Below are 27,115 nucleotides of genomic sequence, written 5' to 3'. Positions count from 1 at the left end.
GCCCTATAAAGCTGTTTTTCAGATGGGCTGTGGGAGGGAGCTGCTTTCTAATTCATCAGGTCCTAAAGGGACTTTCACGTGAGAGAACTAATCCAAACTCAGTGATGGTGCAAGGGTACTTCTTACCTCTAGGGACAGGTGAATTTCCACTCCTGTGTATCATTTACTTTATAACAGTCTAGCAATGAGCAGCTTTTACTTCCAGCTGTGAGGCATCTGGGTTGGATTCCTCCTTTCCTCTCTGCTACGGCATTCCTAATGTTCCCGCTGTGTGTTGTGAACTGGTTTGGCATCTATCTTCCCCTCCGCAGTACCCTTGCAGGCTTTGCCAGGTCTATATCGTCCAATCCATCTTCCTGCTGACTCAATAGACTTGCCCTCTGGGTGCCTTCCTACACTTGGGGAAACAGCATAGTTTGGGTTTTAGCTGAGAAGACTCACTGAGCCATACATTTATTGGAATTCATTGGTTTACTTATTTTAGTATCTGTTTTCAGCATCAATCTTACATAGACAGCTATCCAAAATGCTACTTGTGTCACTGAAAGGTCTTACCTTTCCCAAAATGTCTTGTCTATGCCATAGTTCTTGAATTCTCCCATTTTGGATTAAGAAACCAGGAGCACTTATTAAAATAATAATGCTTCCCTATTCAGTGTTAATTTACCCAGTGATATGGTTTGGCTGTGTCCCTATTTAAATCTCAGCTTGAATTGTATCTCCCAGAATTCACACGTGTTTTGGGAGGGAATCAGGGGGAAGTAATTGAATCATGGGGGCTGGTCTTTCCCGTGCTATTCTCATGATAGTGAATAAGTCTCACGAGATTTGATGAGTTTATCAGGGATTTCTGCTTTTGCTTCTTCCTCATTTTTCTCTTGCTGCTGCAATGTAAGAAGTGCCTTTCACCTCCTGCCATGATTCTGAGGCCTCCCCAGCCATGTGGAACTGTAAGTCCAATTAAACCTCTTTTCCTTCCCAGTCTCGGGTATGTCTTCATCAGCAGCATGAAAAAGGACTAATACACCCAGCTACAAACTATCCCTTAAGCTAAATATGACTGGCTTGAATGGAGCAACTGTAGAAGTAATCAGAATCCCCAAGTGAGTGGAACAAGTCAGTTCTAAAAGGGAGAAAAACCTTGGGAATGCTGGAAACAGACAGCTCAATGGGCATATTCAGAAGAAAACAATAGATACCAGGTACCTTGGAGATAAGTTATAAAAATGGAGAAAACTGGTGTGAAATATATTCTAACAGCATAGAAATGGAACAATGGGGTTAGAAGGGGCTAGTCTGTTGAAAGATGAGACCACTGAGGAGAAGAGAGGGGCCGTTACTTCCCTGCGGGACTGTAGAAAGTAATAATCAGTTTGGACTAGAATGTAGGTTTGCTAACACCTAGACCTCTGCTCTTTCCACTTCCCAGTCTTTTCCAAAGTGTGGTGTGAAGAGTACTGCTCCTGTAAATTTAACGAAATTTTCCATGGGCAAGAAAAAAGGTATAGTTGTTAAGTTTAAAAAATATGATTAGAAAGAGGCGTATGAGGGCCAAGTACTTATCTAGAAGTCTTGGGATATGAACTCTGGCCATTTTATCAATTAATATTTATCGAGAACCTAATATAAGTTATATGCTAATGGCTGTAGGCATAATCATGAGCAAAAGAAACACTGTCTTTATTCTTATGATCTGACAGCCTACTTTCTCATCAGAAGGTACATATAGATCAAAGAATCACACAAATGCACGTGTATTTTCAAAGTGACTAATGTTTTACAGGAAGGCAATCCAGTGTTTTTTTTTTAATTTTAAAAATTTCAATAGCTTTTAGAGTACAAGTGGGTTTTGGTGACATGGATGAACTGTAGAGCGATGAAGTCTGAGATTTTAGTGCCCTCGTGTGCACTAAGTAGTGTACATCATACCAATATGTAGTTTTTTTAATCCTTTAACCACCTCCCACCCTCCTCCTTCTGAGTTTCCAAAGTCCATTATACTACTTAGTCTGCCTTTGTGTACCCACAGCTTAGTTCCCACTTATAAGAGAAAATATGGCATTTGGTTTTCCATTCCTGGGTTCCCCAACTTAAAATAATGGCCTCTGTCTCTATCCAAGTTGCTGCAAAAAACATTATTTCATTCTTTTTTATGGCTGAGTAGTATTCCATGGTGTACTGGAATAGTGAGTAGTAATGAGTAATATTCCCTGTTTTCATTATTCACTCATTGGTCGATGGGCACTTAGGTTGGTTCCAAATCTTTGCAATTGTTAATTGTGCTGCAATAAACGTACATGTTCAGGTAACCTTTTTTATATAATGACTTCTCCTTTGGGTAGATATCCAGTAGTGAGATTGCTGGATCAAATGGTAGATCTTTTAGTTCTTTAAGAAATCTCCATACTGTTTTCCTTAGAGGCTATACTAATTTACACTCCCACCTGCAATGTATAAGCATTCCCACATCCACACCAACATGTACTGTTTTTTGACTTTATACTAATGGCCATTCTTGCAGGGGTAAGGTGGTATCTCATTGTAGTTCTAATTTATATTTTCCTGATGATTAGTGATGTTGAGCATTTTTCACATTTGGCCATCTGTATATTTTCTTCTGAAAAATGTCTATTCATGTCAGTTGCCCACTTTTATTTGGATTATTTGATTTTTTTTTCTTGCTGACTTGTTTGGCTTCCTTGTAGATTCTGGATATTAGTCCTTTGTAGAATGCATAGTTTGCAAATATTTTCTCCCATTCTCTGGGTTGTCTGTTTACTCCAATTATTTCTTTTGCTGAACAGAAGCTTTAAAAAATCTTATATCAAAAGGATACCTGCACACGTATGTTAATTGCAGCACAATTAAAAATTGCAAAGATATGAGACCAAATTAAGTGCCCGTGCAGCAACAAATGGATAAAGAAAATTAATTAGGTCCCATTTATTTATTTTTGTTTTTGTTGCATTTGCTTTTGGGGTCTTGGTAAAAAATTCTTTGCCTATGCCAGTGTCTGGAAGAGTTTTTCCTAGGTGTTTTTCTAAAATTTTTATGGTTTTAGATCTTAGGTTTAAGTATTTGATCTATCTTGAGTTGATTTTTATACATAAGGTGAGAGAGATACAATTTAATTCTTCCATATGTGGCTATTCAGTTTTCCCAGCATCATTTATTAAATAATTTATTAAATAGGGTGTCCTTTCCCCAGTTTATGCTTTTGTATGCTTTGTTGGAGATCAGCTGGCTTTAAGTATTTGCCTTTACTTCTGGGTTCTCTATTCTGTTCCATTGTTCTATGTGTCTACTTTTATATCAGTGCCACATTGTTTGGGTAACATGGCCTTGTAGTATAATTTGAATTCAGGTGATGCCACCAGATTTGTTCTTTTTGCTTAGGATTGCTTTGACTATTTGGGCTCTTTTTTGGTTCTATATGAATTTTAGGATTTTTTTTCCTGATTCTATGATAAATGATATTAGTATTTTGATAGAATTGCATTGAATCTGTAGGTTGGGCAATATGGTCATTTTCACAATATTGATTCTTCTAATCCGTGAACATAAAATATGTTTTCATTTGTGTCATCTATGATTTCTTTCAGCAATGTTTTGTAGTTCTCTTTGTAAAGATCTTTCATCTTCTACGTTAAGAATATTCGTAAGTATTTCATCTTATTTCTTGTAGCTATTGTAAAAGGGATTAAATTCTCAGCTTGATTTTCAGTTTGATCATCATTGGTATATAGTAGTGCTACTTATTAGTGTACATTGATTTTGTAACTGTGACTTTCGTGTATTCATTTGCTAAATCTAGGAGTCTTTTGGAGGAATCTTTTGGATTTTCTAGGTATCTAGGTATATAATCATATCATTGATGAACAGTTACAGTTTGACTTCCTCTCTTCCAATTTGGATGCCCTTTATTTTCTTCTCTTGCCTGATTACTCTGGCTAGGAATTCCATACTGTGTTTGAATAGAAGTGGTGAAAGTGAGCATCCTTGTCTTGTTCCAATTCTAAGGGGGAATGCTTTCAACTTTTCCCCATTCAGTATGATGTCGGTTGTGGGTTTTTCATATATGGCTTTTATTATTTTGAGGTATGTCCCTCCTACGCTAAATTTGTTAAGGGGTTTTATCATAAAGGGATCCTGGATTTTGTTGAATGCTTTTTTGGCATCAATGGAGATGATCTTTAATTCTGTTCATGGGATGTACCATATTTCTTGACTTGTGCATGTTAAACCACACCTGCATCCCTGGGATAAAACCTACTTGATCATGGTGTATTATCTCTTTGATATGCTGTTGGATTTAGCTAGTATTTTGCTGAGGATTTTCTCATCTATGTTTCTCAGGGATATTGGTCTGTACTTTTCTTTTTCATTATTTTGTTATGTTCTTTCCCGGTTTTGGGGTCAGGTCGATACTGGATTCATAGAATGAGTTAGGGAGGATTCCCTCTTTCTCTATATCTCTTGGAATAGTTTCAGTAGAATTGGTACCAATTCTTTGAATGGTAGAATTTGGCTGTGAATCCATCTGACCCTGGGGATTTTTTCTTGGTGGGCAATTTTTTTTTCTTTTTATTACTGATTCAATGTCACTGCTTATTATTGGTTTGTTCAGGGTTTCTGTTTCTTCCTGATTTAATTTGGAAGGGTTATATGTTTCCAGGAATTTATCCATTTCCTCTGGATTTCCTAGTTTTTGTATATAGAGGTATTCATAGTACTCTCAAATGATCTTTTGTATTTTTGTGGTGTCGACTGTAATGTCTAGTTTCATTTCTGAGTTTATTTGGATCTTCTCTCTTCTTGGTTAATCTTGTGAATGGTCTGTCAATTTTATTTATATTTTCAAAGAATCACCTATTTTCATTGATCTTTTGTGTTTTTTTTTGTTTTAATTTCATTTAGTTCTGCTTTAATCTTTGTTATCCCTTTTCTTCTGCTAGCTTTGAGTTTGATTCCTTCTTGTTTCTCTAGTTCCTTGAGGTGTGATGTTAGGTTGCAAATTTGTGATCTTTCACTAATGATGTAGCCATCTAGCATTATACACTTTCCTCTTTGCACTGCTTTTGCTGTATCCCAGAGGTTGTGATAACTTTTGTCACTGTTGTCATTCATTTCAAAGATTTTTCTTAATTTCCATCTCGATTTCATTGTTAATCCCCAAATCTTTCAGGAGCAGATTGTTTCATTTCCATGTGTTTGTGTAGTTTAATGGGTACCTTTTGGAGTTGACTTTTAGTTTTCCATTGTCATCTGAAAAAATACTTAATATGATTTCAGTTTTTAAAAATTGAATGAGAATTGTTTATGCTGATGAGAAGAAGGTATACTCTGAAGTTCTTGGGTAGAATGTTCTGTAAATATCTGTTAGGTCCATTCATTCTATAGTGTAGTTTAAGTCCATTGTTTCTTTGTTGATTTTCTGTCTCAATGATTGGTCTAGCACTGTCAGTGGAGTGTTGAATTCCCTCACTATTATTGTGTTGCTGTCTATCTCATTTCTTAAGTCTAGTAGTGATTATTTTATGAATCTGGGAGCTCCAGAGTTAGGTGTATGTGTATTTAGGATTTTAATGTAGGAAGATAATTCACTTCTTTAGGAGGACATGTCAAAATGTCCTGAGGGTTCAGTGACTTAGAGATGACTTCTTAGATGAAAGAGTTCTTGAGCTGATAACTGAAGGGGTAGTACAAGCTAACTAGGTGAAGTGCCTTTCAAGGGTGAATAACATGTGTGTGGAGCAAGGGAAGCATGATGCATTACGGCAGAGCATTCTGGTTAGGGTGCCGAGGTCCATGAAGGTGGCGGGAGGTGGGCCGAGACCCAAGTGCTCATTATGTCTGAACACAAGAGTCATATGTTTTCCCCAGTGCATCTTACGAATACCAGTATTCCTCTATATTATCAAAAAGGTTAGGAAATACTGCATCAGGGAAACTAAAAGGTAAAATGAGATGAGTTAAAATTATGGTTGAGAAAAGAGACTGGAAGATCATGCAGGGGACTTGAGATTTGGATCTTAATCCTAAAAGCAACTGTCGGCTACTAATATCCTGTGTGCCCTTGGCTGAATCCCATTCTCTTTTTGGACTTCAGTTTCTGCTTCAAAGGTGTGACAGGATAATCTGTTTCCTTTCTGCTCTGATAGCTCTGATTTTTCTCATACTCCTGCGATTTTCGTTTTCTTTTCTTTTCTTTTTTTTTTTTAAACTCACATAAAGGTTTGCTCTGAAGAAGCTGTGTCTTTGGAGTATTTTCCAGGAGCTTGTCCTGAGGGTTTTGCTAAGTTACTTGCTGGCTTTTTCCAAGGTGATTTCTGCATCCAGGTGGAGATGGAGCTGTCCTGCTTGCTGATAATAAGTTGTGATTTCACATGACTTGTTATTGCTGCTCTTTATCCACCTCCTGCCTTGGCCTCAGGAGCTTGAGTTCCCCACGCCTTCTCATTCCAAATATAGCAACTCCTAATTCACAGTTATTTTTGCTGTTAGAGGAAGAGAAGTGGCAAAACTCAAAACTATCTTGTGGGTGGGAAATCCAAGTTCCGTTTTGCATTGCTACTTCTCTTGGCTCATTTTGGACCACTGTTGACAAACACATTCCCTTCAAGAAAACCACCCCTTTTTGTAGATGATACTAATTTCCAGATTTCCAGAAATGTGTGATCACCATTCAAGGCCACTTTCCTACCTCCTGTCTAACATTTCTGACTAAGTAGCCTGCACATTTCAGACATCACACACTGGTAATAGAGATTGTGGTACTTAGAGATGTGATGCTGGAATTCTTAGAAAAATCTGTGGGAGATCCAGGGGACTTCTGGGCAGTATATGTGAATGTGAGTGGACAGAAGTACTTTATCTTCTAGGAACTCCTGAGAACTGAGAAATGACTGTTTAATGAACAAAGAGAGAAGTGACAATGAGACTGCCCTGTCCAGAGACTCCCAAATAAAGAAGGAGGTATGTGGGTTTGGGGAGAGATAAGAGCACTTGAACTCTCTGTTAGAGAGGGTGGCTTCTCCCCAGTTCTGTTATTTATAAGTTTTGTGATTGTAGCAGGTAAGTTACATTCTCTGGGCCTCAATTTCCTCTTCTTTGACTATTTTACACGTGAAGCCATCTTAGGCTGGAAAAAAGGATATGTTCCAAGTGAAAGGAGGTGATTAATTACAGTTACTTTGCCGAATAGACCATATGCTAGTAAAGTTATAACACAAATAAGGCACTACATGAAAATATTTAGCAAAGTGTCAGGACTGTAGCAAACATTTAAATAATACTGATAATAAAATTATTATAAATTAAATATTTCATAGTTTTTAGTCTGTATATTTATTCATTTTTATTATTTTTGGAGAGCCACCTTTTTTTCTTAAGTTCCAGCTGTGTTCTTTTTATGTATGACTGACATCAAAGTCTGTGTTACTGAAGTCCCTGTCCACCTTCAGAAAACAATGGTAACATTAATATACCTTCCTGCTCTGAGGTAACCCAGATGATCCTTGCAAGTTCTTCATCTGTGTCTGTATAACACAAGTGTTTGTGCAAGACAATAGCGGTTCATGAGACCACCCTGACAGAGACGGTACATTCGATATCAATGCGGAAACTCCTGCCATGAAATAGAGATCTGATGGGATTTTAGGTGGAAGCCACAGGACTTGGTGGTTGGTTGAATATGAAGGAGGGGCTGGGGATGAAGAGGTAAATACACATAGAGTGAAGCATCCATAATGACCGCCAGGTTTCTGGGTTGAATGACTGGGTTGAAGATAGTGCCTTTCCTGAGACAGAGATTCTGAAGAAAAAAACAAGGTATGAAGGAGGTGGAAAAAGATTTCAGTTTGGAATGTGTGGAGTTTGAGGTGCTTGCAAGGTTTCCTGGTAGTTATGTGCAATGAGGAATTGAATATAGGAAACACTATTTAGGAGAGTGAGCTAGAGACATGGATTTTGGAATCATGAGAGGGTAGATATTCCAGACTGTGGGAATGAATGAGATTGTGTAAGTGAAGTATGAAAGATGACAGAAGGGCTGACAATGCAACTCTTAGTATTAGTAACATATGAGATCATTAAAAAAAGAAACTAGAACAGTCCATAGGAAAGAGGAAAATAAAATAAATGTTGTCACAGAAGATTGGGGAATAGTTTCTGTTTGTTTGTTTTAGGAATGATGACCAAAAAGGGATACTCTAACAATTCATGAGTCTAAATGAAGAGATATGTATTGATCTGTCAGCGAAAGGTCTTGCATTTTCAGTAGTGATGGTAACAAGAGCTCAATTCAAACCCACCAATATCTTTCTCACTGTAATCAAAGGGAAATGTGAGTATCAAGAACTTAAAAGTTAATTAACTGGATGGTTTGAGCTATACTTATATACCTTGATGCTGACAATTTTAATTTCCATCGGAGCTCAGTGTCTACAGCCTAACCTTCTTTATTTCCTTGTTAGCATGTTGATGCTCTGTTAAGCAACTCCCCACCCAAACTGTAAGTCACTGATGATATGTATTTTTTTTATCATTTTAACATACAAAGTTTAGGTTCATATCTATGAAGAGAAAGATTATGGATATCTATTAATGAGGTCTTAAATATGGAATGATGAGGCTTTGGTGTGTTAGAAAACTAAAACTAAATTGGGATTAAGGAAAATTAATTTTGAATTCTGACTGTGCTATTAACTTGTTCTGTGGCAGAAAATAAAATCTCTTCCAGTCTCAGTTTACCTATAAGTAAATGTAGGGGTTGGACTCAAAGATTCCTTTCATCATTAATATTTTATGAGCTCTGAATAGACACATTTTTCAGTTTAGAATGAGGGGAGGACAGCATGGTGTTTAGAATTCTGTGTTTCTGTCTTTACCTATGGTTCATGGTTGTGATTCCTGAAAGTTAGAGGTGGGCAGCCTGTTCATTCATGACCTTCTAAACTTTTACTCTTGGAGGAAAAAAAAATTATGGACCATTTTAAAAGCAAAGACATCTTAGTCTTAAAAAAAACAAAACAAAACAAACAAACAAACAAAAAATTTTCCAAGTGAAAGAAGGTGATAAATCCCAGTTACTTTGTGCTAACCTGCCTATGCTAATAATGTCTCTCCCCTCTCTACTTTCTTTCAAATAAACAAAGAAAACATACAGTGCTTAATACATGCCAATTGCTTGCTAGCCACAGGGATATTAGTATGATTAAGGCATAGCTTTAACCTTAAGAGTACTCTTAATCTTAAGAGTAGTCTAGTGAGAGATAAATTAACTAATAATTATAATATAGTATAAGAGTCCAGGCAGATGTATAAACTACAGTGCTGTAGGGAACAGGTGATATATTCATTTATTCATCCATTCTGCAAATATTTGCATGTCTATTATGTACCACATCTTTCTCTAGCTATCAAAATAGGTGAGTTCCCTACCTTTACGGAGCTCACACTGTCGCAGAGGGAGAGAAAATTAATAAAGAAAAATAGAGACTTTCATATGATTACAAGTAGGGAATAGAAAATGGTTCTGAGGTTTATTATTTTCTATAGGGTGGTCAGAGAAAGTTCTGATGCTAGGGAAACATTTGGGAAGAGAAAGTGATGTGATGCCTAAGGGAAGAATAGTCTGGATAGAAGGACCAGCAAGTCCATAGGCCTTAAGGAGTATGGTTGGCTTATTCTAGGAATAGTAGGAGTGCTAGACTGGGTAGAACGAAAACCTGAACAAGCAAAGTGATACCATTTCCATTGATTGAGGTGGGGAGGACTGTAGGAATAGTAGTTGTGTCAAGGAAGGGGGATCAGGAGTTTGATTTTGGACACGTTAGAGTTGAGATGTTTGTTAAGCATCTGAGACAGAACAATACAGCCAAATGTGTAATTCTGGAGTTCAGATGATAGGTCCAAGTGGAGGTATAAATGTGTCATCAGCATATAAATATAGTATTTTAAAATAATCTTGTTAGAAGAGCTCACCCCAGGGAATGACTACCAATAGTCATCTAGGAGAAGCAAAAGGACCAGCAAGGGAAAACTGAGACAGTTTGATCAGGAACATAGAAGAAAACCATGAGTGGTGACCTAGTTGCCAAATGAAGGAAACGAAAGTGTTTCAAGAAGGAGGAAATGATCAATTGTGTCCATGCTTCTCATAGTTCAAAAACTAACACACATAAAGGGGAGAATTGTTGAAGAGTAGTGCAAAAAGGGCCAGGGGGGTTTGAGGCTGAAGGTTGAGAGGGCATCAGTTAGGAGGCTCTTGTATTAACACAAGGGAGAGAGGAAGGTGGCCTGAGATGAGTAAAGTAGCATGATAATGGAGAGAAGAGGCCCGAATAGGCAGCAGATGAGACAGTTTGGCTGAATGACTGGATGTTGCAAGAATGGTTAGGCCAGGCGCGGTGGCTCATGCCTGTAATTCCAGCACTTTGGGAGGCTGAATCGGGCGGATCACCTGAGGTCAGGAGTTGGAGACCAGCTTGGCCAACATGGTGAAACCTCATCTCTACTAAAAATACAAAAATTAGGTGGGTGTGGTGGTGGGCACCTGTAATCCCAGCTACTCGGGAGGCTGAGACAGAATCACTTGAACCCTGGAGGCAGAGGTTGCAGTGAGCCGAGATCACGCCACTGCACTCCAGCCTGGGCAACAAGAGCAAAACTCCATCTTTAAAGAAAAAAAAAATTGCTCAAGGCACAGAGAAGAAGCATGGAATGATTTCCAAGATTCAGGAGTAAGTAACTGGAAGATTTGTGACTCTCTTCCCTCTAGGGAAACTCTCCTACTGAAAGAAGAGAAGGTTTAGGGAGGGGATGATGATATGTTTTCAGGACAATTTGATTTTGAAATTCATAGAGGACCTCCAAGTGAAACTGACCATTGGAAAGATGCATATGAGCCTGAAGTTCAGGAGATGGCTCTGAGGTATTTCATCTGCAGTCTGTGTTTCCGTGTTTTTAGTGGAATCATAAATAAATAAGTATGTGTTTAGAGGAGTGTAGCAGAAGGGCAAGTGATTGGACAAGAAAAATGTAGATAAGCTAGGGGTCAGCCATGCTGGGTTCTAAGCTGGGTACACTATAGACAGGTGGAGGAAATTTTGACAGCAGTCAGGTCCATGAGTTCTCTCCTCTATGAAATATGAAGAACATCAATTCCCTGGTATTTTGTGGATCCAGGATACTAGTAAGTGGAGTAAGTATTCAAATTTACTCCCACAGATACTGTCATACTGCCACTATTATTACTGCCAGTCCTACAACTGTTAAGTGTATTACCAATAGTAAATTTCCTAATATATACCCTAAGTAAGGCAAGACCAGTGCTCTAAGATTAAATTTGTAAAAGGTACTCCTTTCTGACATTAAAACACATTCCTTTTCCCTCTCTTGTGTTCCCTCTCACTCATTATTCTCTCCTGTAAACTCCAGGGGAACTGGGGGAACTGACTATAATTTCAGTGTATCCAAAAAAATAAGTTCGTGTCCATTAACTTAAGTGAAACATTTGTGGAGGAAAAAAGACAGTTTATAAGATTGTTTTAATATGAACCCACTAAGCTGAAGCTGCTGGTATCACTCTTTGTCATATATAGCACCCTTTGAACCTCTGCTTTTGGCACACACTTGATTTTAGTTTCCTTAACTTCACTAATAACTTTGCCTCCCTGATGTGTGCTGTCTTGCTGTGGCCAGAGGGGAGAGGCAGGTGACTGTTCAGGTGACTTTGCTTTTCATTGCTTACCAGCCTGTCTTTAATCAGTGTCATCTTGTCATCCCACTTGAGCCAGCTCAGCCAGGATATCCTTGGCAGCTATTCCAAGGACTGAGCATGGCTGACTTGCATGAGAGAACTGAAGACCAGGCCAATTCCTCATGTGGTTGTTAGATGGATCTTGTTCATTGATTGATTCACTCATTTGTTCAATAGACAAATTTAACCAGGCACCAATAATGATGTGAATGAAGATGATGATCCCTAGCATTTAATACCAGTGTCAAGCACTACACTAAGATATTTAAATGCATTTTGGCCACTAAACTTCACAAGAATAATATGTGGTTGAAATCAGAACTATTTCTGCTAACTGAGAAAAAAAGATAATTGATAAAACCAAATAATTTTCTCAAGTTCACGCTGTAGTTGGTAGAGCTGAATCACAAATCCGGGTTATTTATTTTTATTTTGTTTTGTTTGTTTTTCATTTTCATTTTTACAAAAGCTATAAATGTGAAGAGTAGAAGATAAAATAAGAAAATGAAATCCTTTATCTCTACTATAGAAAAGTCGCCACTATATTTTTTTAGGCTATATCTTTCTACATCTTACACATACACACACAGATTTCCAACTGCTTTGGAGACACTGACTCCATGCTCTGATAAATATTGATTTCAAGCGCTTTGGTTTACTGTTTGAGCTTCTCCTTTATAGAGAGAGGAGCACCCTCAGGAGCCAAATACTATAAATATATATCTTTCCAAGTGAACATCCCTTCTTTCAAAGTTCAATTCCCTTGAGCTTCTGCCTGCTCTTATCTGCAGTCTAATGTCTTCAAATAGTCATTCATCATACTGCGTCCAGTGTTTATAATTGCTATATTCAGGAATGCTAATCAACACACAATCCCCTGCCCTTCTTGGTACTGAAACTCCTTCATGTTGTTCTAATTTGTGTTTCTATTCAGAGTGAGGTTAAGCTTCTGTTTCACATAGGGTCATTGCCTTTATATTATGTGGATTCTGTTCATTTCTTTTGTCCATTTTTTTCTATTGTGTTCCCTGTCTTTTTCATCTCGTTTCTGGTTACTCTTTTTTTTTTTTTTTTTTTTTTTTTTGAGACAGAGTCTTGCTCTGTTGCTCAGGCTGGAGTGCAGTCATGCATTCTTGGCTCACTGCAACCTCCACTTCCTGGGTGCAAGTGATTCTCGTGATTCAGCCTCCCGAGTAGCTAAGACTACAGGCGTGCGCCATGATGCCCAGCTAATTTTTTGTATTTTTAGTAGAGATCGGGTTTTGCCATGTTGCCCAGGCTGGTCTTGAGCTCCTGAGCTCAAGTGATCCGCCCACCTCAGCCTCTTAAATTGCTAGGATTGCAGGCGTGAGCCACCGAGCCCAGCTGTTTCTGGTTGCTCTTTATATACTAGAGACTATCTTTGGATCTATGATATAAATTGGAATTTTTTTTTAGGATTTTTGTACACATATATAATTAATTTTTTATTGATCTACAACATGTATACAGAAATACACACAGAAACTTCATTTAAGGCTTGATGGATTATAATAGAGAATTTATTTATGTAACTGAGAAATAGAATTATCTTCAATAATGCCTAGACAATAACTTTTTCCCGCCCTCCCTTTCCAAAGATAACCAGGTTAACATTGTAGACCAATTTTGTCTATTTATACAAGTGTTTGACTACAAAATTTTTAAGCATATAGAAATAAAATAGTATAATAGTCTCGTTACTTAGCTTCGACAACTAATTATGTGCCATTTTTGCTTAATCTATACTTTAACGCATTCTCCATGCCCACTTATTTTTTTTAGTTCTTTTTTCATGAGGTAAGATGTACATACATTGAAAGGCACGAATCTTAACTGTACATTTTTGACAAATCCATATAATCTTCACCCTTCTAAAAACAGAATACTTTCGTCATCCTCAGAAAATTCACTTGTCTTTTATCCCAGGCAAAATACAAGAGGCTATTTCTGTGTTAATTTTTTTTCACCATACATTTATTTTGCCTGAAATAATACAATATATAAATGTATACATTTTAATGTCTAGCTTTTCTCATTTAACTGGTTTATGAGATTTATCCAGGGTGTGTCCCTCATTCGTTTTTTTTTATTATTATTTCTGAGGTGTATTCTGTTGTATAAATGCTATCCAATTTGTTCATTCATTTTCTTGTTGATAGATATTCGGGTTGTTTCCTGCTTTGGGCTATTATGACTATAAAATATATTAATTCTCCTTTATTAGCATTTAAGTTACACTTTCTTGCATTTTTTAGCAGTTGCTGCAGGAATTACATTAAGAATCTTTAACATCTCAACAAAATCTAGAGTTAATTCTGTACCGTCTTAATACATGTAAAATATAAAAACCTTGCCACAGAGCAGTTTCATTTATCTCATTTTATTCCTTATGCTACTATGATAAATTTTACATCTCCCACTTAGAAATACCACAATACAATGTCATAATTTTTGTTTTAAATAGTCATAGGTGTGTTTTAGAAATTTAGAGAAAAAGTTATTAATAAATACTTGAAGGTAGATACTTAGGAATTATGCAAATACACTGTTTATTCTTCAAGTTTTACATACAATTTTTGCATTCCTCTGGGATTCTTGCCTACAATAATTATCACTGTGGTGTTTTTGTGTTGATTTTCTATTTTGCATTATCCGTTTACATTGATTTGTATTTGGAATTCTGTAAGATTTTCTTCCTTTTATTCTTTATTCTATTTTATGTCAGCATAGACTTAGGAATATTTGTTGGGCCTTAATCATTTATTTTACTGTTCATATTGTTCCAGCTTGGACCATTGGAAGGTCTTTCGGATTGGTTCCCTTTGACATGTCCCTATCCATTTTATCAAGCACTTTTTTGTTATTGTGGAAAGTAGCCTGGCAGTTTCTCAAAGAGCTTAAAAAGGAAGTACCTTTCAACCCAACAATCCCATTGTTGGGTATATGCCCAAAGAAATATAAATTGCTTTACTGCAAAGACACACATATGCGTAGGTTCATCACAGCACTATTCACAATAGCAAAGTCATGGAATCAACCTGAATGTGGATTAATGGTGAACTGGACAAAAAAAATGTGGTACGTATTTTTTATTTACATATATATATATTACAACTCACAAATCTTTTATACATGGAGTCTATATTTTGAATCTTTATTATAAAGGCTTTCTTCACTCAGATTTTAAAGTATCAAAATCAGTGTTTTAAAGTGTGTTCCACATTTTCTTCAAGTACTTAATATAGATTCCTCACCACCTCCCCCTGTACCCCGGCCTTTTACATTGTGACCTTTAATCTATGTGGAGTTTTCCTTGCTGTATGATGTGACATAAGGATCCTACTTTATCTTTTTTCCAAAGGTATCTGTTTTCCTCAGTATCATTTATTTAAGAGTATATCTTTAGCTTGCTCATTAGAAATAGATACTTTATACTAAACTTTCCTATGTTTGATGCATAACTTGAAATTTTATACACTTTTCTATGAGTGTTTCCATCTATTCATGTGCCAGTATAATCTAAATGATTGAGTCTTTGGAATGGGTTTTAATCTCTTGCATGACTACCTCCCCCACCCCACCCCACTCACCCACCAACCATCTCTCTTCTTTTTCAGGTTTCCTAGAAAATCTTCCTTATTATACTAAGCCTTCCTGCTATCAAAGTCTATGCTTTTATCAGTGTATTATGTTGTGTCCATTTATGTCTATTAGTATAGAGCTATTCACTGTACACATTTCTATCCTGGTCTCTAAGTACAAGAAAAGTGCTAAGTATAAGAAAAGCACTGAGTTTAGAGTATAACCCTGGTAGTTTTCAAAATGTGGAATACAAATGAATAGGAATATTATGAGCTCCAACCTATATTTTTATAGTTTTGAAATTTCATAAGTAATTCTGAAGAGTTATTGGGTTTGGAATCATTGGCTTCTAAATCAAACTAATAAACTGGGACCTTTTTCTACCTGGCAAGGGAATGGCTAGTCATTTCCCATTCCCATTGCATCATAAATCAAATATTGTGAAAGATTCTAATCCAGCCTGCTTACTTAACTGATGGAGAAACTTAGGCCTGGATGTGATATGATCTGCTCAAAATTTAGTCGGTGGCTGACTTGGTCAAGAGCTCAATACTTATTATTAGTTCCTTTTTTTCTCCTCCATTACAGCATGCAAAGATCTCATAAAATAAGCTAGCATCTCATAATTGAAAATGTATATTAATTTAATACACAGTAAATTAATATTTTTGTATTAATTTAATTTACTAATTAATTATTTTAATTAATTAATTAATTTAATTAATATAATATAATTATATTAATTTAATGTGCATTAAATCGATTATAATGATCTAATGTACATTAATTATATTAATTTGTGTACATTAAATTATATTAATTTGTGTACATTAAATTAATTATATTAATTTAATCCTCATGTAAACTTTTTGAGCATTCATTAGACTAGGGTTGCTTTTGCCCAATGTATTGAACAGTGCTCCTAAATTAATTTATTCACACATTTATTTATTCGACAAATTCAGAGAGTATTATGTGCTCTGGTTTACATAATGAAATATCAAACTTTGTATCTTTATTGAAATGATTGCTAATTTAACTGCATACGTATGATACTTGCATGAGATATTAATAAACGATCCACAATTTGAATATAGAACAAAATCGACAATTTAAGAAATGTTACAAGGCATGAGTAGAATAGATAGAGAGGTCATTGTGGGCTAGGAGTAGCTGGAGACTATGCTGTGAAGGAGGTGATTATTATGTTTGGTTAGGTATTGAGGAATAGCGAAGGACATTTGATAGCAAGAGTTATTATAGATACATATAAACCCAGCATTTATGAAAAACAAAGACTTTTCTCTCCTCATTTGTCCTTTCATGCAGTTTTTCTTCCTTTTAACCATGTATATGTGCTTTGGAGTTCTTATCTTCTCAAACCATGGGAATTATTTGATAAAAAGTTATTGATAAATATCTTGACACAAATAGAAAAAGTTCACTAATGAACTAATACTGTTGAGGCATGTAGTATTTGATAAAAAGTGAATTTTCCAGGTTACTGAAGCTTACCCTTTAAATGTCAAACTTTTTTTTTTTTTTTAAACTTTACCCATTTGGGATATATGCCCTTGCATAACACATTTGAGACTTCCCTAACTTTTTGCGTGGAATTTATCACACAACTTTTGAAAAACTCCTGCAAACTAAAGTTCTCATAAGAAATATGTGTCCCTGCACAATTGAGTAGCTCTGTTTGTTCTTAAGTTAAATTTTCCTCAGTGGCAGTACAGATTAATTTCTTTTATCTTTTTAGTTTCCCTATCTCTTCCTTCACTATGCCTTGTTATATATTCCTATGCTCCAAATATCTATTTCTAACAATTGAGTTTCTCCTGTAAACTCTTAGTGTCACTGTTAACTATAAAAATAAATGATTACAAGAAAAAAACAACCCATCAAAAAGTGGCCAAAGGATATGAACAGACACTTCTCAGAAGACATTCATGCGGCCAATAAACATGAAAAAAAAGCTCAGCATTACTGATCATTAGAGAAATGCAAATCAAAACCACAATGAGATACCATCTCATGCCAGGCAGAATGGTGATTAGTAAAAAGTCAAGAAATAATAGTTGCTGGTGGGGCTGTGGAGAAATAGGAACACTTTTACACTGTCGGTGGGAATGTAAATTAGTTCAACCATTGTGGAAGACAGTGCGGCAATTCCTCAAAGACCTAAAGGCAAATACCATTCAACCCAGCAATCCCATTACTGGGTATATACCCAAAGGAGTATAAATCATTTTACTATAAAGACACATGCACTCGTATGTTTATTGCAACACTATTTACAATAGCAAAGACATGAAACCAACCCAAATGCCCATCAGTGATAGACTGGATAAAGAAATGTGGAATATATACACCATGGAATACTATGCAACCATAAAAGGGAATGACATCATGTTCTTTGCAGGGACGTGGATGAAGCTGGAAGCCATCATCCTCAGCAAACTAACAAAGGCACAGAAAACCAAACAATGCATGTTCTCACTCATAAGTGGGAGTTGAACAATGAGAACACATGGACACAGGGAGGGGAACATCACACACAGTCAGAGGGTGGGGTAAGGGGAGGGAGAACATTAAGACAAATAGCTAATGCATGCAGGGCTTAAAACCCAGATGATGGGTTGATAGGTGCAGCAAACCACTACGGCGCATGTATACCTATGTAACAAACCTACATGTTCTGCACTTTTACTTAAAGTAAAATAAAAAAAAATAAAAGTGAAAAATGGATTGAGGAAACCTTGCAACGTAGGAGACAGGAGACTGGACTGGGAGTCATGAGAACTGAGTTTTACTAATGACTTTGCCAACAAATAGGCTGTGTAATCTTGTCAAAGTGGTTTTCTTCCTCTTGTTTCTGGGATCCTCAGTTGAAAAAGGATGCTGGATGTGAAGGTGTGTGGTTTTCAAACTCATCAGGTACCATATTGAATAGGGACCTAATGGTTCAATGAGGAGGCTCTTGGCCATTTATGTTCTCTGCCACCGTATTTTAAACAGTTTGATGTGGTTTGTCTTTTGTATCTTGGATATCTTCATAGAAAGTGTTCTATTACTTCTTGTTAAAAGCATGAATTTCACTAAATTAGAATGATAATGACCGTGGTTTATCCCTGTGTCGAATACCTCCCGGTTCTCAAAGCTATACTAGGGGTGTGTGTGTGTGTGTGTGTGTGTGTGTGTGTGTATTCATTTATTCTCTAATTTTCACAAATTCTTAAAAAATAGTCAAGTGCCATTATCGTTACTTTATATTTGAGAAAACTGATCCTTAAGGAGTTTGAGAAATGGTCCTAAGATGACACAGCTAATAGGTGATAGAAATCTAATTCTGGCTTCATTCTGCAAGACTCAAGAGGTGGGCAAAGTTCCACACTGGCTTCTAGTATGGTCCCTTTCACTTTTACATGACTACTGTCAAACAGCCATACGTGTTATATCTAAACTAAGTGTAGGAAGAAGCCTCAGAGTGAAGTACTCTTCTGTGAGAACATTGTGTTAACTTGCGTGGTATTTGTCCATGCTTCCCTTTGACCTTTCCTTTTTTTCCCCCCACTGTGGTTCATGACCATGTTCTAGACATAGCTCTGCCTTCAAAACTTCTAAAACTGGCATCAAATCTATGGCTAGAAACATTTATTCACGCATCCATTGGCTAAACAGAAGAACATGGACAGTAGAGGAAGTAAAAGAATGTGGGCTTAAGAGAAAAATAAATTATATACCTCCAAAACACAAGTACTTACTACTTTTGATAAAACTAAGACATTCTTCACCGTGGAAGCTACATCTATGCAGTTGGTAAATTTCCACCCTGCAGTGAACTTTGATGTCTTTTCTGTTTTGCAACTTCGCTTTGCCAGTGTCACAGGAGAAAGCTGCCTCTGTTGGCAGGAAGGAAGAAATTAAATTATGAACTGAATACCAGAGAATGGCGAACACAAAAGTGTGTGTGCGCACACACACATGGCTTTGTCTCCAGATAGCAGTAATTACTAGTTCTCTGCACCTCTTATTCTTTCTACCCTGAGCCGTCAGACTTCTCACCTTCCTTTAAAAAAATTAACAATGGCTAATATTCTTGCTTTTTCAATGAAAAAAACTTCACTTTAAGAAAGCAACCAAGAAACACTAGATATTTTGCCCCCAGTCGTACGGCTTTTATCCTTTTTTTTTTTTCTCCTGCCATCCGACAGTACGAGGGCATGACTTGACCTTCAGTATTTGAATAAGAGAAGCTTATTGCTCTTTTCTGATTTTCTCAACCCTAATTTTTTACAACCAATTCTGATTATGCACTGTGTTCTGAAGTTTCTTAACTTCTCAGTGGGAAAGTGTAGCCTTGCATGAGCCATATCCTCTCCCTCCTGCTGTGCAAGCAGGGTCTGGAAATTCTGAGCATCTTTTATAATTCTCTGAGGCTCCTGTCCTCCATAAAATGCCATTTTCTCCAGAAGTCCATGAAGGCTGCAAGTAGAGTATAGGATGACCACACTGCTAAATATTTTATCCTACCCGAAGTCCCCTAGGCAGAAGTTAGGAAGTACTACGCTACAACAAATAATAGGATTTAAAATTACTATAAAATTATTCCAAATCTATGGTTAATCTTCACTGTTAGTTGTATGTACTTGAGAAAGTCTTAGGTTTTAAAAACACAGCCTAATGGAGATACAATTCGTGTACCATAAAGTTCACCATTTTTAAGTATATAATTCAGTGGTCATTAAAATACTCAGATATTCACTCATTAACACCATCTCTTGCTAGACTATTTTTACCACCTCAGGAAAGGAACCCCTATTTATTAGTGGCAACTTACCATTCCTTCTCCTCCATCCCTGCCCCTGGCAACCACTAATCTGTGGAGATTTGTTTATTCTGGACATTTCATGTAAGTGGAATTAAAAAAAAAACAAAAACCTGGCCTTTGTGTCTGGATTCTTTCACTTACCATATTTCCAAGGTCCATTTATTTTGTAGTATGTATTAATACATCATTTCTTTATACAGCAGAATAATGTTTGATTGTATGAATACCACATTTTGGTTATCAACTCATCAAATGATGGACATTTGGATTGTTTTCACTCTTTGGCAGTTACGTATAATGCTGGTATAAATATGTGTGCAAGTTTTTGTGTAGATACATTTTCAATCCCTTTGAGCGCACACAAAATTTTTGGGTCATGTGGTAACTGTTTAATTGTTTGAGGCATGGTAAACAAAGTGATTGCATCATTTTAGATCCCCACTAGCAATGGATGACAGTTCCTATTTCTTCAAATCCTCACCAACACTTGTTTTTTTTCCCATTGTGTTATCTTTATCATTATAGCCTTCCTAGTGGGTATGAAATGATATCTCATTGTAGTTTTGATTTGCATTTCCCTAGTAACTAATGACACTGAACATCTTTTCTTGTGCTTCTTGGAGAAATGTCTATTTATCTTTTGCCTGTTCTTAAATTTAGTTGTTTGTCTTTTTGTTATTAAGTTGCAAATTTTTATATATACATATTTTAGATGAAAGTCTCTCATTAGATATATGATTTGTGAATATTCTCCCTCATTCTATATGTTGGTTTTTTTTATCACTTTCTTGATGACATTCTCTGAAGCAAAAAGTTTTTTAGAAAAAAATTTTTGATGAAGCCCAACGTATCTATTAGTTCTTTTTGTTGCTTGTGCCTAATCTAATGCATGAAGATTTACTTACATTTTCATCTAATAGTTTTATAATTTTAGTGTTTATATTTAGGCCTATGATTTATTTTGAGTTAATTTGTGTGGAGGGATGAGGAAGGGGTGCAAACTTTGTTCTTTCACATGTGACAGACTAGTTCTGCTAGCACCATTTGTTGAAAGGACTGTATTTCACCATCGTTTTAGCACTCTTGTCAAAAATCAACTGATTATATGTAGAGTAAGATTTGACATTGGAAAGTGTGAGTTCTCCAACTTTGATCTTTACTTTTAAGATTTTTTTTTCTCTTTGGGATCCCTTGCATTTCCATATAAATTTTATCGTCATCACTTTATCAATTTTTGCCCCAGGGCCCCCCCTACAGAAAACAGAGTTTTGGTAGGGTTACATTGAATCTATAGATCACTTTGGGGAGTATTACCATCTTAACCCCATTAAATTTCCTGATGCATGAACATGAGATGTCTTTTCATTTACTTAGGTCTTTTAAAATTCCATTTAATGATGTTTTATTGTTTTCATGTAGAAGTTTTACACTTTTATTAAATTTATTCCTAAATATTGTATCCTTGGATGTCATTATAAAAGAAATTGAATGCTGAGTCTTATTTTTCAGATTTTTTTATAATATAAAATATAATTTATGTTTGAATGCTGTTGTAACCTGAAACCTTGCTGAACATAATTATTAGCATTTTTTATTGATTCCTTAGGATTTTCTAAATACAAAATTATTGATTCTTTTTTATACAATGTCAAATCTACGTTGAGTCCCTCTAGTGAATTTTTTTCTTTCCATTATTTTTCTTTTTAAATCTAGAATTTTTATTCATAATAATCCATCTCTTTGTTGATATTCTTTATTTGGTGAGAATCATTTTCTTATATTTCTTTAGATTTTTATATATCATTCCCTTTTATTCTATGATCACATTTAAAATAGCTAATTTAAAGTCTAGCAAGTCTAGTGTTTGGGCATCTTTCAGGAGAGTTTCTATTGACTGCTTTTTAAATTTCCATGTATAGACTGTACTTTCTTGTTTCTTTGTCTCTTAATTTAGTTTTGAAACTGAACATTTTAAATGATGTGGCAGCTCTGGAAATCAGATTCTCTCCCTTCCCAGGATGTTGCATATTCAAGCTGTGATTTCCTGTACTAATTCATGAACGTGTTGTAGCTTTGTCATGTGTGGCCACTGAAGTCTCTGCTCAGCTAGCTTTGTGAACATAGTACCTTAATGCCTTAAACCAATGAACTTTCCTGTCTTTGCTGAGGGGTTCTTTTTTTTCTGTTGGAGTATACTTTCAGCACTCCAGCAGGCAATCCACAGCTCTGCCTTAACATGTACGTCCTGCTTGTGAAAAGCCTTAAAGTCAGTCAGTCAGAGATCTTTCTCAGGTCTTTCCTTGATATGTTTACATCACTGTGTTTATGCATGATAATATAAATCCCCAAGATTGTCAGAGTTTTTCAAAGTCACCTATGAACATCTTCTTGCTGAGTTTTACCTTGAAGCTTTTTGGTGAGTCTGGTGAGCCACACTGTTAAGGGCATCTCAGGCATTTGTGATATTAAACACTATCACTGATTGTTTAAATAAAATTCCTGTCTGGAGGGTTCTTACCACAAGGTGAATTGTGAGTCAGGTCAAATAAAGATAAACCCTGAGAATAGAGCTTTTCAGTGTAATAGCTGCCAGACAGGTTGAATAGTGACAATTTTCTGGGGATGAGACTTTTAGGATTTCCAAGTCTGTTGTGTTCCTTACAGTGGCTGCTATCCTGCTGTTTTGCAAAGCTACTGTCGTTTATATACCATACTAAGTTGGTTTTCCAGGCCACTGTTGTGCTAGGGAGCTTGGGAGTGGGATTAGTCCAAGTTAAAATATCACAAAGATTGCTATTCTTACCAAGATGTATCCATTTTCTTGAATAAGTGCGTCTCAGATGGTTGCACGTCTTCAGTTAATTTCCAGAGTTCTAAAAATGCCGTTTTTGGCATTTTTTGCCAGTGTCCTTATCCTTATTACTTTTATAAAGGAGCAGATTTTCACTGGTCCTTCCTCTGCCATTCTCTAAGTCACCTCCTTGGGAAAGCCTTCTGAACTTTCTGTGCTTTAGTTTGTTCTACTATAAAATAGAAATAATGATGCCCACATTACAGAATCATTGGAAGTATTTCATGAGATAATGTGGGTAAAGTACTCATATAAACCCTAGAACATCATAGGTATATAGCAAATGTGACTATCCTTCCTTCTTTCTTTAGTTGAGAGATCTATGGGATGACGACAGAATTGGATTGTGATGACCTAACATCTCACTTTTTTTTCTGGAGACTAGCCTCCACCTATATTAGTGAAAAACTTAATCACCATGACAGAAACTTGATTCAAACTGGCTAAAGTCAAAGCAAAGGGGAGGATTCATTACCTTCCATATTTGAAAAATTTAGTTGTATACTGACTTCAGGTACAGATGGAGTCACATGTTCTGTATTGTCACAAATGTTGTCTCAAAGGAACTTTAACTTTCTTCTCTGATGGCTTTATTGTTAGGGAGACTCTTGTTCCATGGTGGAAATACAGTAACCAGCAATAGTCCAACATTCTATCAGATAGGGATTCCCTGTAGAAATAGGTCATTTTTTCCTCATTATTTCTAGCATGAATTTTAGGATTATTCTTCTTGGGTACATTTAGGACATGTGACTATTGCTACACACATCACTGTTGCAGGGAAATGGTATATGCTAATTGGTCCAACCTGAGTTACATCCCATTCCTGGAGCTCGGAGTGAAGTCAGCCAAATATATATACATAGTCTGAGGCTGGAGAAGGGATGTTTTCTCAAAGGATAAATGCTAGAAAGGAAAATATAATATCTGTCTTTGAGCAATGCAGGTTATTTATTACAGTACCTTCCTCTTTTCTTCTTCATTCACTTTCTCTTCTCTCCAAACAAGGGAAATCAAAGACTTGCCAGGAGTATGTTATTCTGTTAGAGAGACATGTTCACTGTTTGTGCATGGAACATTGTACAGGAATAACACATGAAACAGTACATAAGTCTGAGTGTACAGTGTTGCCATTGATGCTGTGGTAGGTCAAAGATGGGGAGAGATGAACGAATGAATACCAGAGCAATCAGGGAAGTACTTATGGAGGAGGTAGTACTATAACTTATCAAAGGATGGCCATTTAGAAATGCACAGAGGGGGAGAAAACTTGGTCTGCGTAGGGGTGTAAATGATAATGATGAATAGTTTCATTATTGTTTTACTCTATGGCTTACTCTATGATTACATTGCTATTGTGTTCGGCACTTTACTTCTTTACTTTCATTCCCTCATATCTTAACGGTGTCCGCTGTTATTATCCCTGCTTAAGAGATAACAAGAAAAAATGAGATTTGGATAATTTTTTTAAATACCAAAGTTTGCTAAATTGTTAAATGGGAAATCCAGATCTAACCAGACAATCTGAATCCAGAGTCTCATTTCTTAACTACTATATTATTCTGGCTCTCAGAATACATATACACATTCACTCACATGTGCACTTCTCACTGGTTCTCAACTCCACCCCATTCCAAACTTTGGAGCCAACATTGTTGCTCTGAGGTTGAGTGGAATCTTGCAGTCAACTTTTGTACCCTCACTGTGAATTTGTCCCAGTTAAGGAGCCCAAAAAATTATAATTCATAAAAGCTAAAAGTGTCTTCAGAGACCATCTAGCCAGGTAGTTCAGGTTTCATTGTCTATAAAAATTCCCCAGAGAACATATTAAAAGTGTAAATTATTTGTCCTTACTGCAGTTCTTGAATCAGTGTGGTATCTTAGCACATTCAGCTTTTGTCAAGCTCCTCAGTAGACTCTGAAATATTTCAAGTTTTGAAGACTGATGATCTACCCCAGTGCTTCTCATGCCTGTCTGTCCCTGGGAAAAGTTTTAAAATTCTAATGCTTCAGCTTTACCTCTGGTATTCAAATTTTGTTGATCTGGTATGTGGCTGTTCATTGGTATTTTAAAAATCATTTTATGTAATTTTAATGTATACCTTTTAGATGCGCATTAGAGAGAACTATAAATCTAAGCCATTTCTATTGTAGATATGAAAACAGAATAAGAAAGGGGAATAAAGGTGCTTTAAGTTGCATTGCTTATTGGTTGGCAGGGCCATAATAGAAACATGAGTTTTCTGGTTTTCTAGTTGAGGATGCTTTATTAAAACTGCTTCACATCTTGCTGTTTCCCTGGAATGATCTCTCTCTGCCCTGTCCCCCTCATTCATGCAAACATGTATGGCTTGACTGGGGCCCCCATGCTTCAGCAGAGCTCCATTCTAGAAGAGGAACAATTGATGGGAATAAGAAGCTCCTGAAAGATTCTTTCAGGTCAGCTGGGCCTGTCAAAGTAGAGTTCCCTGTGGGCTAAGCCTCAACTTCTAAGCTCTAACCTCATTCTCTAAAGCCTTTGCTAAGTTCTTCTAACCTTTCTAGAAAGTGGGTTGAAGTGCACAGTCTCTTCAGATGCTACTATTTGTCTCAGTTACTGTGCTAGGCTTGGGAAAATATCTCTTGGTGCCTAGAAAATGACATCTTTGTTTTAATCTATGTTTTCCTGAACTGGTTCCTGGCTCTGTCCAACTGCTCTAACTGAATTTTAATAGTTCATACCATGTGTTTCCCAATTATAGAAGGAAGTGAGCTTTCCTTTCATCACTTAAAACACCCCCTTATCCCAAGGGAAAAAAAGAACAATAGCCTTGGGAAATATAGTGACCCTGTGCTGTTCAGTATAGGTATCAGCAGGATTTCTTTTTGCTTGCTGTTTGAGGAGTGGGAAAGGGAACACACAGGACCCAAAGAAATACCCTAATGCCTCCCTTCAGCTCATAGACTTGTTTTGAACACCTCCTTCTAAAACAGCTTTTCCCTTTTTGAGGGGATAAAGCAGCCAGAGAGCAACATTGGAATGGCAAACTGGCAGTGAATGAGAAAGGAAGGAATATGTAATACCCAGAGTTGCATCAAACATTTAATTATTCACTTTTTCAAGCAAAATATTTATGAGTGACTGTCATGAGTATGGATCACAGAGACCCTCAGATCAAGAGGCAGTGTCAGATGAAAGGAAGGTAGAGCATGAGGCTGGCATAGTGGGGTAAAATACAAGCAGGAGATTGGTAGCCAGGCCTGGATTCACTTACTGTGTCTCAGGCCCAGAGGGTAAATATGTTTGCTAATGCCCTCATCTCTAAAGTGAGGAATGACTTGGGACTAAGTCTAAAGCTTTACCAGCTTTGACACACAGCTATAGGGTACAATAGCTACTCTCCAAACTCCTTCTGAGGAATCTCCTGTCCTCAGACACCTAGTCAGTGACTATCCTTGGTGGGGGCATGCAGGGAAGAGACAGAGCTTTGATACTCTAAATGCATTTGCCATTAAATCCTCACATCCTTGAGGCATGATGCTTATGTACTAGGTAAAGAAACCAAGGCTTAGAAATGTTCACCAAGGCATTGATACCCTTGCTAATACTAAAAGTAAATAACTTTAGTGGAACTGAATAAAATTAAGTACTGACGATTTTTTAGGGGAGGTACCAGAATGGAACAAAACAAAACAAAAGATTATGCTGGAGACAGTATCAATTGTTAATGACATTTCCAGAGAAAATGACATTCAAACTCACATGTATTGGCAAAGAACAGTGGGGATACAATAAAGAAGAGAAGGCTAAAGGGGAGTAGAAAAGCCAGTTTACAGAATATATACTTAATGTTTTCAACAGATTAACTCCTTTCCTCTCTAGCTTACAAAACTCCTCTGAGGTTGGTACTATTATTGACCTCATTTTCAGGTGAAGAAACTGAGGCATAAAGTGGCAATAAGTGAGTTGTCCAGTTTACAGAATAGATCTATGGTACAACTGAGTGAACCCCAAGGAGTCTGGCTCTCAAATGTGTACATTTTGCCACCATCTGTATTATGTAAAAGAAGAAATGCTTTATTGACTGGA

The 27,115-nt window shown here is 36.5% G+C and overlaps 1 long non-coding RNA gene across 1 annotated transcript in view, besides 1 other annotated feature; it reads left to right on the top strand.

Moving 5' to 3' along the window:
- Positions 1–866: 866 nt before the first annotated feature.
- The window catches only part of LINC01470 (long intergenic non-protein coding RNA 1470), a 353,385-nt gene continuing 327,136 nt past the window's right edge, over positions 867–27,115 (top strand). Inside the window, exons 1-2 of the long non-coding RNA NR_109877.1 lie at positions 867–950; positions 6,882–6,975. This is a non-coding gene — a long non-coding RNA (long intergenic non-protein coding RNA 1470). The remainder of the gene's footprint in view (positions 951–6,881; positions 6,976–27,115) is intronic.
- Positions 23,256–23,425: an enhancer, noted in NCBI's record as "experimental_83428 CRE fragment used in MPRA reporter constructs". NCBI's record gives its function as "activates a minimal promoter by MPRAs in K562 erythroleukemia cells, with activity observed for both the introgressed and non-introgressed 5:152329436 variant alleles {active_cell/tissue: K562}" and the evidence as "EXISTENCE:reporter gene assay evidence [ECO:0000049][PMID:34662402]".

This window comes from Homo sapiens, chromosome 5 (assembly GCF_000001405.40).
Source record: "Homo sapiens chromosome 5, GRCh38.p14 Primary Assembly".
Taxonomy (NCBI): Eukaryota; Metazoa; Chordata; class Mammalia; order Primates; family Hominidae; genus Homo; species Homo sapiens.
The sequence above is the reverse complement of the archived record's forward strand: the minus strand, read 5'-3'. Positions and strand labels throughout refer to the sequence as shown.